Raw genomic sequence first — 11254 nt, 5'->3', positions numbered from 1 at the left:
TAAATCCCTTCCCTGTTCCAGAGTCCTGTTGTCTCTGGGGTCTTGGCCTGTCTTATCTAGGCCATGGAGTGGTGGGGGTGGGATGCTGCTAGTTCCTAGGCAGGAAATAGTGGCCAGTTACCCTTGTGGTGTCATTTCTGGGTCCTGGAAAGGAGACCACTGCTGACCCCTGACTCACCAACCAACAATTATTGATGGAAATCCCACCGGCCTCCCCGGACAAAGGCAGCCCAGACCTGGACTCATTCACATGTAAAGGAAGTGGCCAGAAGTGGCTGCTGTTGGCAGGGGTGAGGGACGGGAGAGCGCGCTAAGTGGCCTGTGTCTGTGGGGGAGGGAGAGGGTGGAGCAGCACAAGCCGGCCTGAGGTTAGGAGCCTGCGGTATCTCCAGGAAAGCAGAGGCGGCTGTGGGGGGCGCCGGGGCTGAAGAGCCAAGTGTGGAGACTGCTCCATCTTGCCCATCTCCAGAAACTCAGACCACCCATCCATTAAAGGCAGGTGGATGAGCAAGGGGGCCTCGCAGGCATTCCAGATCACACTGAACCTGTGCCCCACTGCCTGACCCATTCAGCATCCCTATTAACAGACACTCGCTGCCGTCTGGCCCGGACCCGGCTGGCGCTGCGGGTCCTTCCACCCCAGTTAGGAAGGGTCATGGCTCCCGCGGAAGCCCCTGCCAGGGTGAATAAACTCGGCGTGGGGCTGACGGGCTCTGAATTACTCCGTTGCTTACAAGCCGAGTGCCCCTCTGTGCCTCAGTTTCTCCCTCTATAAAACAATACGAATACCGGCCCAGAAGCGTTGTTGGGCAGATTAAACGAGAAAATCCACTGGAAGTGTTTAACAAACGACACACAATACGGGCTTCATACCTGCCAGCCGATGTCCCCTGCAGCCTTTATTCCCTACCCAATTCCCCTTAGCCTGCTATGTGGAGATACAGGAGGCTTGCACCCGCCGCGGTCCCGGTGTATTTTAACGGGCTCCCGGGGAAGCGGTGTGGAAAATGGATTAGGGAGGGAGGAGGCCAGAGCCTCGGAACCCGGGGAGAGGTCTGCAGGCATCCAGTTGGGAGCTGGAAGGGCGGGACAGGGCCCTTGGCAGGGGGATCCAGGAAATATTTTGGAGAAATTCTCTCTAGGACTTGGTAACAGGTTGAGAGCGGCCACTTGGCCGGGGGCGCCGGCTTCGGAGGCGGGAGGGAGGTGGAGGAAGGGAAGGCAGCTGCAGGGCCGACCTGCGGGGTGGGCGTGAGGCCGGGGGATTGGGGCCGCAGGGGTTCGGCCTGGAGGAGCGGCGTGGGGGCGCCGGGGCCCTGATTCCATCCTGGGCGGGTCGGCCCCGCAGCCGCTGCGCTCGGAACCCCCTAGGCGCCCCGCAGTACCCGGCGTCCTTCCTGCCTCCTCCTCGCCCCTGTCCTCCGTCCGAGCCCCAGTCCCGCCGACCCTGCCGGCGCCTCCGCCCTCCCGCCCTCCCGCCCTCGGTTTCCCACGACCTCGGCGCGACGCGCGCGGGATCCAGTGGAGACTGCTTTCCCATAGGCCGCCATCCAGGGCGGGGAAGGGAGCGGACCCTCCCGGCTCCAGGTGCCTGGGCCCCCGGCGGCCTGCGGAGGCCTCGCCCCACGCCACCCGCCCACTGGCCTCGTCTTCGCGCGGGGGTGAGAGCAAAGGAGGCACTCGGCCCATCGCCAGCCCGGGTCCCCTTCCTGCCCGTCGCTATCCGAGAATTTGCCCCGTGTCCCCCAGGCCGCGGGGGTCCGGAGAACCGAGGGGCGGACCCCGCAGAGGGCTGCGCCGCCCTCCCTTCTCTCCCCGCGGGAAGCAGCCCCCAGGACCGCCCCTCGCTCCCTGCCCGGGAGGGACTGGGCTTCCCCGAGGTGTGCGGCTCCTGGAGAACTCGCTTTCCCGTTTCCAGCCGGCCAAGCCATCAGTTAATCGCTTGCTTTCTCTTTTCTTTACAGAGAAAAGCAGCCTGATTCGGAGGAACGGGTTGCTTGGGGCGGCTCCCAGCTCGAGTTGTGGGCCCCGCCGCGGGTGCCCTTCGGAAACGCGCTGACACCAGGCGAAGCCGCCTCTGCCCGGACGCAGCCCGACACTTGGCCCGCGGGGTTCCCCGGGACGCCTGAGAGTAATGGGCGCGAGGGGGAAAGCCGAACGGCCTCCCTGTGCCCGGCGCAGGCGGTGCCCCCTAGCTGGGTTCGCCGCGGCGGCGCTGCGAGCCCCCGACACTGAGGACTTTTGGTCCAACAGTCCGACGGGGCCCGGTGCGCCGTTCCCTCCGCCCTCTCCCCGCTCCCCGGCCCGCGCGTCTTGGAGGGTGGGTGAATTGTCGGAAGCACTCTACGCCTGGCCAACCCAAACCAGGAACCTCCGCACCAAACAGCCCACGTTGCTGCTGCTCTGGGGTTTTAACGGCCAAGGGAGACTGGAGAAGGGGTGTTCTGCCTTCCCATTCTCTTAGGCCCGTCCACTCCCCATCCCCACAGTTTGGAAGTGGCCTTTTCTGAGGACTCCAGCGCAAAGCATGTTTCTCCTTTTGAGCTGCGGAAGCCTTGCTTGTTCCCGCCATTGGGAGGGCATTCCATCATCTGCAGCTGCCTTCCTCGGTGGGCCTTGTCCCTTAGCGTCCACCTAGGGGACATTCTAAGCTTCTTGAGACCTGCTTGTCCACCCCAACATGTCTCAGCATATGGCTGTGCCCTAAGGGGTCTTTGAGGGCATTTTAGGAGGTGAGCGGCGCCCCTACCTGGGCTCCGCGGGGCCGATTCGGTTTGCCCTTTGCTGGCATGTCAGTGAATTAACTGCTGTCCTTGGGATGACCTGCCCTATGATTTGGCCTCTGGAGCATCCCGGGTGTGTATTTCAGAACTCCTCCCATCTTATCCACCTGCTGAAGGCCTGGCCCCCTGATATGGTTTGGCTCTGTTTCCCCACCCAAATCTCACCTTGAATTTTAATAATCCCCACGTGTCATGGGCGGGACCAGGTGGAGGTAATTGAATCATGGAGGTGGTTTCCTGAACGCTGCTCTCGTGACAGTGAGTTCACAAGATTTTTTTTTTTAACGGAGTATCACTCTGTCACTCAGGCTGGAGTGCAGTGGCGCGATCTTGGTTCACTGCAACCTCTGCCTCCCGGGTTCAAGAGATTCTCCTGCCTCAGCCTCCCGAGTAGCTGGGATTACAGGTGCGCGCCATCACGCCCGGCTAATGTGTATTTTTAGTAGAGAAAGGGTTTCACCATGTTGGTTAGGCTGGTCTGGAACTCCTGACCTTGTGATCTGCCTGCCTCGGCCTCCCAAAGTGCTGGGATTACACGCGTGAGCCACTGTGCCCAGCCGATCTGATGCTTTTATAAAGGGCTTTCCCCGTCCCCCTTCCTCTCTCTCACCACCCTGTGAGAAAGGTGCCTTTCTTCCCCCTTCACGTGAACTGCCTCCATGATTGTAAGCTTCCTGAGGCCTCCCCAGCTATAAGGAACTGTGAGCCAATTAAACTGCTTTATAAATTAACCCAGGTATTTCTCGGGTATTTCTTCATAGCAGCGTGAGAATGGACTGATACACCCCCAATGTGGAGTAGGGGAAGCTGAGGGAGTTAGGAGGTCCCAGCAAGGTGAAGGTGTGATGGGGTCTTGGGACAGTGAGAGTGCTGCCTCAGGCAACAGTGGGCAGGTCATTGAGGCTCCATTGAGCTTGGTGAGCAGGAAGCTGAGAGAGGGAGCTGTCGATTCAGGAGTCAGGGGTGACATGGAAGGAACCTAGGGCTTTGCCAGGCACAGGTGAAGGAAGGCCACTTAGGTACTGGCAGTGGGAAGAGAGGGCAGGGAGTGGTGGACGGAGAGGAAGAGAAAGCTGAACACTGGAGCACAATGCGGGTGCTGGGAGGCAAGCAGAGGGGGCTGGGGGCTTCTCATATGGTGCATCCTGGCATTTATATTTTGAAAAATAATTGTTTTGTTCCCATTAGTGCTTTTATAATAGTTTTAGGAAAGAAGAGAAAATATGAATTAGCTATTATGAGGCTTCTTTTGAAGTTTCTTTCAGTTCAGAAACATATCCCACTTTACAAAAAAATTAAGAAAATTCAAAGTTAAAAAATGTAGGGAGGCCAATAATTTTAGTTGCCAGACATTTTAGTCTGACAAGACAACTCATTGGAGTTTCCTTAGAGACGTATTAGAAATTCAGAGCTGCACACGCATTTTTCCCCCTGCCAGATAAACTGAAACAACATAAAGTGAGTTTTAGTTATTTCTTTCAACGAGACTGCGAGGCCTATTTAGCTAACGAAAAAGATATCTGTAGAAAGAAGCATTCTTGATTCTTATCTACAAGACAGAGCAGCAAAAAACCAAGAATGTCAGATGAGTATTATCTCTGTCCATGGCAGAAAGGTATCATGTTGGTATAATTAAGATTGGTCTTAATGGAAACTTAGGCAATAAATATAAACATCATAGTTTAACCTGCAGCAAAGCAAATAAAATACATGAAATATAATAGAAAAACAATGCAGGCAAAGGCAGGCAGATTGCTTGAGTCCAGAAGTTCGAGACCAGACCTGGGCAACATGGCGAAACCCTGTCTCTAAAAAAAAAAAAAAAAATGCAAAAATTAGCCGGGCAGGGTGGTGCACATCTGTGGTCCCAGCTACTTGGGAGGCTGAGGTGGGAAGATCCCTTGATCCTGGGAGGTCGAGGCTGCAGTGAGCTATGATTGCGCCATTGCACTCCAACCTAGGTGACAGAGTGAGACTCTGTCTTACAAAAAAAGAAAAACAATGCTATGTGTGAATTTTTTTCCAATCTTTTAATAAGGAAAATGTTTTTTTCAAAATAATGGCTTATATGGAGTGTCAACATAAAAACAATATAATTTCAAATTGATAAGTAAAATATAGTCAGCAATCTCACATACATCAAAATTTGGTATATAACACACATTCTGGAGAGGTGTTGCTTTTGGTCTTACTTTTTTTCCATTTTTAAAATTGTAAAACACATACAAAATTTAGCATTTTAATGACTTTTAAGTGTACACTTCAGTGTCATTAAATTCACATTGCTGTGCAACCATCACGACCATCCATCTTCAGGCCACTTTGCATCCTGTGTAACAGAAACTCTACACCCATTAATAACTCCCCTTTCTCCCCTCCCTCCAGCGTCTAGCAACCACCATTCTACTTTGTCTCTATGAATCTGACTAATCTAGGTACTTTATATAAGTGGAATCATACAGTATTTGTCCTTCTGTGTCTGATTTATTTCACTTTGCATACCGTCCTCAAGATTCATCTATGTTGTAGCACGTGTCCGAATTTCCTTTCAAGGCTGAATAATATTCCTGTGTGTGTAATATTTTGCTTATTCATCGATAGGTACTTGGAATGCTTTCTTCGTGTTGTAGCCATTGTGAATAATGCCACTATGAACACAGATGTTCAAATATGCGTGGACATTTTTATAGGAATGTAACAACAACAAAAAGCACACAGTGGGCTCCATCATGAGCTCAGCTGCATACAGAGATGGGGGGCGCTGGAAGTCGTGGTGGGGCAACTGAAGCACCTCTCTGGAAATACTGTGTCCCAGGGGGACAGAAGGTCAGGCAGGTGGGTCCTGCCCAGGGACAAACCTGACAATCACTGGCACATCAGAATTCCTGTGAAACTGCAAAAACAAAAAGGGTGCCTGTGCTGAGCCCTAGACCCCCTGATTCAGTCTCTTGATGAGGACCCTGGACATGTGCATGCTTAAAAGCCTCTCCGGAGGTTCTGACTTGCTACCCTTGGGGCTGGGAACCACACAGCCTGGGACTTGGGAAGGAAGGGCGAATCTGTCTTTCCTCCTAGGGGCAGAGAGTAACTATCAGATGCACTGTTTTCCTAGAGAAACCCTGCAAGACCCTGAGGCAAAATAGCTCTCCTGGGGTGGCCCTTTAGCCAAGCAAAAGTGAGATGTTCTTCCCTCCTGCAACAAATACCAAGTGGAGCCAGCCGTACATGCCACAGTGTACAGGGGCTGTCACCAAGAGGAAAGTGGCTTATGAACCATCCCAGTAAGGCCTCCTAGAAGCACTGGGCAGAGGATGCTTTGCAATCTCTGGTGGAAGATGAAACCAGAAACAAGTCTGTATCCGTGATGATGGAATGAGCAGCAGGCAAGGAGCCTAGAAAGTGATGGGCACTCTTGCTCTTTGAAGGTGTGTGCCTGTCATTGGGGCTGACAGGTTCAGTGACATCCTCGGTGAGGCCTAGATCCTAGATCCACTGTTAGCTGGATTTGTGACATAAAAATCCTTCACATGCAAACAAACAAACAAACAAACACACAAAAAAACCTTTAAGGCAGGCAGTGATCCCCATTCCTTTGGATTTTATAGACCAGTAAGTGTCAAATAAAACTTCTGGGACTGACATATGATTACCAACTTTTATGTAAGGACAATGAAAAAGACCAAAAGGTATGATCTACCATCATTTCAAAAAAGAGGGCTATTTTGATATCATAAAAGAAGGATAACTTCAGAATTTAAAAGCGTACACATTGAACTTTAATTAGAAAATAACCGTGTATTTCCTGTGGCTTTCTCATTTTCTGTGGAAGGATGAAAAGTTTATCATCATCTCTGCAAACTAAGGCTTCTTTGCCTTGAATACTTAGGGGCAGCTGCACCATTTGCAGATGTTATTTATTTCCTTGAAGAGGTGTTTTCAGGGCTGTAAGAGAACCCTGAGGAATTCAAGTGCAAAAATCTCTTGGTATCTTGCCTCAGTTTCCAATATTAATAGCTGTGTGGTGAGTGTTCAGCCAGAAACGGTATCATTGCTTAAGTAAAAAAGATTGTGGCAAGTAGCATCATGGAAACAAAGTTGAAAGGTTTTCTTAGAAATGATCTCATCTCTGTGGTTTTCAAATTAGTGCTCCATGGAGCCACAGTGGTGTTGCTTGAAGCAACAGACTTGCATTTTAATTGTTTTACTAGTTAAGTTTCTGATTAAGATACAGTTCAGTTGCTTTAAGAAAATGGCTGACCACCACTGATCTAATCCATCACCAATTTAAAGGGGAAACTAAGGCTAAAAGGAGGTAAGGGATTTGCTTGAGGCCACCCATTTAGTTAGCAGAACTTGGTGACACATCACCAGTGGAGTGGGGGTAGGAAGGATCTTGTCAAACCTTCCTAGTGTCTGTTCTCAGGTCATCAATGGTTGTACCAAATCTTTCCATCACTCCATTGCAGGGAGTCCACTCCACCTGACAGTTTCCGTTCTGAAACAGGCTCCTTTTCATACTGGACTCTGCATTCCACCTGACACACTTTCCTACATAATAGTGATAAATATTTCACTGACAACTGTTGGAAACTAATTTTTAAACTCCAGTTCTGCATTTTTGCTCCCATTTTGACTACTATTGATAAAAGTTTCCTTTTTTGAGATGGAGTCTTGCTCTGTCACCCAGGCTGGGGTGCAGGGGCACAATCCTGGCTCACTGCAAGCTCTGCCTCCCAGGTTCACGCCATTCTCCTGCCTCAGCCTCCCGAGTAGCTGGGACTACAGGCGCCCACCACCACGCCTGGCTAATTTTTGTATTTTTTTTTTTTTTAGTAGAGACGGGGTTTCACCGCGTTAGCCAGGATAGTCTCGATCTCATGACCTTGTGATCCGCCTGCCTCGGCCTCCCAAAGTGCTGGGATTACAGGCGTGAGCCACTGTGCCCGGCCTAAAAGTTTCTTTAATAGCATTTATTGGCTGGGCATGGTGGCTCACACCTGTAATCCCAGCACTTTGGGAGGACAAGGCAGGTGGATCGCTTGCAGCCAGGAGATTGAGACCAGCCTGGCCAACATGGTGAAACCCCATCCCTACTAAAAACACAAAAAAATTAGCTGGGCGTGGTGGCACGCACCTGTAGTCCCAGCTACTCGGGAGGCTGAGGCAGGAGAATTGCTTGACTCGGGGGGCGGAGGCTGCAGTGAGCCAAGATCGAGCCACTGCACTCCAGCCTGGCGACAGAGTGAGACTCCGTCTCAAAAAAAAAAAAAAATGTTTAGCTGAGTGTGGTGGTACACACCTGTAATCCTAGCTACTCAGGAGGCTGAGGCATAAGAGTTGTTTGGGAGGGAGGTGGAGGTTGCAGTGAGCCAAGATCATGCCACTGTACTCCAGCCTGGGTGACAGAGTGAGACTCAATCTCAAAAAAAAAAAAAAAAAAAAAAAAACTGTACATATATGAAGACTATAGAGCTAATATTTATATGAATATCATAATTTACAAGGTATTAAAATGTTTGAACTACATTGTCTTGTATATAAACTGAAATGAAGTGGTATCTACTTACTGGAGTTCCTCAGATAGCTGATCACATTGTAGGCTGAAAACATCTACAAGTCAAGTCTATCAAGGACCATATCATGCACTCATTGTGTAGAAGGCCCCTCAATGGCAAAACATACCATCTGGTAAGTCTGGACACAACTCAGCTGCACAGAGCAAACAAATGACGAACTCATATAATTTAAAACAGCGTTTTCACACTGTGGATCTTAACCATGGGCCATGAAATTCAATTCAGTGGGTTGTGAGAGGATTAACACACACACAAACCCACTGCCCTACCAAACACAATCCTAGAAGAGAAAAATGTCAAAGTATGTTACATGGCTTATGAGTAAATATTTCATAAACATTTTATTCCAATCATATATGTACGAACACATATGTACTGAGTCATGACATAAATTTTACAATTCTCTAGGGCAAAACATTGCTCTAAAGAAAAGCATACTTGGCCGATCAGTCCCTTGAGAAGACTTTTGTTTTTGATTTTTTGTTCACTTCTGAGCAATGACTCTACATCCTGAGTACACGGAAGCCCTCTCTCCTCAACTTGATAGCAGTGCTCTTTAGCACAGCCAGTTCCCGGCTCAGGCTGTTTTCTGGAGGGATGTGTCCTCCTCTTGCAGCCCTGTGAACTAACTGAAGGACAGCTGCAGCGGTGCATCTGAACCTGCAGCGGAGGCAGCTCAGGTCCTGCCTACAGCATGCACATGTGATGCCAGGGGCTTTCCACCATGATTTTTCACTGACATGATTTCCTTTCATTCACCGGTAGCTCTGCCTTACCTGTAGAGCTCAAGCTCCTAGCACAGAACACAGGGGCTGAGTAAAGGCTTCTAAATACATGCATTCAACAATAAGCACATTCATTTTGCTATAAACCATAAATATTACACTCAAAATATAACAGTTTCTAACAAAATAAAAAGTTTACCCATTTCTTCATACTTAAGAACTACAAAAGTACTATACAAACCTTTATTTACATTAAATCACAATAGGTACATAAAAAGTTGAGGCACTGGTATCTGTGGCTAATGGTAGTAATCACAGCTCATATAGTAAAGTGTATAACATTAACCTTTTAATTTTGAGCTGTTGCAAAATTACCATTTTAATATTATATATACCATATATTCAGTACCAATTATGACTTTTTTCTAAAATAATAATAGAACATGATGCCCAGGGAAAAAGAAAATACTTAATAACTTTCCCAAGTGCTAGTAAAAAACACATTGGTATACACCTGATTTGAGGGGCAGACATGATTCAGCCTATGAGCCATTAGGAGAGCGAAGCAAAGCTTTTTTAAACTGGAAGGACACTCATGCTGATTCGGTACAGACTCTTCATCTTTCATACTGGGAAACAATGCTCACCGGGGCAAGTGTCACATCATTATGTAATATAGTAAGAAAGATGTCCCAGGTCTCCTATTAACAAACCTAGAATCTTTTCTAATTCATAACAGAGGTTTATACTATAAATACAATCATATTCTTGAAAGATCAAATCAAATATCAAGAAAAACAGATCCATGACAATACTTTAGACTTCAAAAAATCCTAAAGCAATAATTTAATAAAAATATATGTCAACAACTGTGTTCAAGATAATAGAATCAGTGTGGAATCCAGTGCCGTAAACAGTGATGGCAGCAGTTTACTGGTGCAGTAATTCATTTATATGCTTATGTGGTACTCTGTGTATTGGTTGCGTTTTCATCTGTATCACTTGGGCTAAATTTCTTCCATAAAAATTTCTCATTTGATTTCCAAAGAGAAGTTGCTGGCTCTTCTCTCCTTTTAAAGGGTGCTGCTAGAGGTGCTTTTTCACACAGAGTCTCTATTACTGCCAAGTCTGTGAGTTTACTAAGACTCTCATCATTCTGCTCATTCAAGATGTCCCAGAAATCTTTTGGTCTCTGTTTTGCTTTTTCCATGGGCCCTGAAAGAACTTTCTTTGGCAGTTGTGTGGGACTGTTCCCATGACTTTTAAAAAGGTCATCAAGAATAGAGGTATCACCAAGTAAGCTTATCACAGAAGTATTTTCCAGCACTGGATTTTCTATCTTTTTGTTTTCCAATTTGAGAAGGGGTTCTTTTCTTGAAATGCCCGTTCTTGTGAGGTCCTGTTGGTCTTTCATGGTATTTTCTAACCTTCTCTCACGTGTTTCAGACTCACTGTTCAGAGAACGGGATGTCACAGTATCTTCGGATGCCTGGCTGTTTTTCCCACTGTCAATCTCTTGAGTAGAACTAACAGGTGATTTCTTAGTTTCTGCATCATTAAAAAACACCTCTTCTCTATAGGAAATATGATTCTGAAACTTAACTGATTTTCTTTTATATGTTTTTAGGCTGCAAACTTGAGAAATTTTGTTGGTAGAATCTTTAAATGACAAGGTTTCAGAATCTGACAGCCTTGGTTTTATAAGAGATTCTCTTTTATCAGATTTCTTCCGGGTGCGCTGCTCTCCTTTCTCAAAGGAAGAATTGTTGAATTGTGACACAGAATCCACAAAAAATTCTTTTACCTCTGGATATTGAGAAGCATAAAAGTCTCTTAGCATTTTCTGTCGTTCTTCTGATGTGGCATTGGTTATATGTTTAGCAAATTCGTTTACAGAAGACGAGTTAAAATAAGAGGCCATTTCTTCAAATTGTTTTCTAAAGATTAAATGAACAAAACTAGTGGTTATTTTCATTACATTTTATTTTGAAAGAACTCATCACCAGTAAGAGGAAATGTAGAGTCCACAGAAGGTAATCTTGTTCCTTTAGCATACGTCTGCTGAATTCCACAATGAAAACGCATTTTATCCTAGTAGAGTGAGGCCTCTACCCTTATGCTACTGAGAAAAGTATTTTAGCTCACAAAATCACCAGCTTTGTAAGTTATT

The 11254-nt window shown here is 47.4% G+C and overlaps 1 protein-coding gene and 1 long non-coding RNA gene across 9 annotated transcripts in view, besides 3 other annotated features; one reads left to right on the top strand and one right to left on the bottom strand.

The window, feature by feature from the left end:
- ERCC6L2 (ERCC excision repair 6 like 2) overlaps window positions 1–11254 on the bottom strand; it is a 165402-nt gene that overhangs the window by 17847 nt on the left and 136301 nt on the right. For 5 of the 8 annotated variants that reach the window (NR_164677.1, NM_020207.7, XM_011518641.4 and 2 more), the window contains one exon: window positions 4799–11021. The exons of the other annotated variants lie outside the window; for them this stretch is intronic. Coding sequence is in view for 4 of the 5 variants with exons in the window: in NM_020207.7 (NP_064592.3) it covers window positions 10043–11021 (979 nt within the window). In the remaining variant the exon portion in view is untranslated. Of the gene's footprint in view, window positions 1–4798; window positions 11022–11254 lie in introns of those variants that run through there. 8 annotated transcript variants of the gene reach the window in all.
- Window positions 13–513: an enhancer, noted in NCBI's record as "H3K4me1 hESC enhancer chr9:98785015-98785515 (GRCh37/hg19 assembly coordinates)". NCBI's record gives its function as "activates a minimal SCP1, AML or CMV promoter by ChIP-STARR-seq in primed H9 embryonic stem cells {active_cell/tissue: H9 hESC(primed)}" and the evidence as "EXISTENCE:reporter gene assay evidence [ECO:0000049][PMID:30033119]".
- LINC00092 (long intergenic non-protein coding RNA 92) lies at window positions 1435–3514 on the top strand. The gene is made up of 2 exons (NR_024129.2): window positions 1435–1661; window positions 1965–3514. It is a non-coding gene; the product is annotated as a long intergenic non-protein coding RNA 92 (long non-coding RNA).
- Window positions 1946–1995: an enhancer, noted in NCBI's record as "active region_28648". NCBI's record gives its function as "activates an Ori minimal core promoter by ATAC-STARR-seq in GM12878 lymphoblastoid cells {active_cell/tissue: GM12878}" and the evidence as "EXISTENCE:reporter gene assay evidence [ECO:0000049][PMID:35858748]".
- Window positions 2206–2255: a silencer, noted in NCBI's record as "silent region_20075". NCBI's record gives its function as "represses an Ori minimal core promoter by ATAC-STARR-seq in GM12878 lymphoblastoid cells {active_cell/tissue: GM12878}" and the evidence as "EXISTENCE:reporter gene assay evidence [ECO:0000049][PMID:35858748]".

This window comes from Homo sapiens, chromosome 9, assembly GCF_000001405.40.
Source record: "Homo sapiens chromosome 9, GRCh38.p14 Primary Assembly".
NCBI lineage: Eukaryota > Metazoa > Chordata > Mammalia > Primates > Hominidae > Homo > Homo sapiens.
The sequence above is the reverse complement of the archived record's forward strand: the minus strand, read 5'-3'. Positions and strand labels throughout refer to the sequence as shown.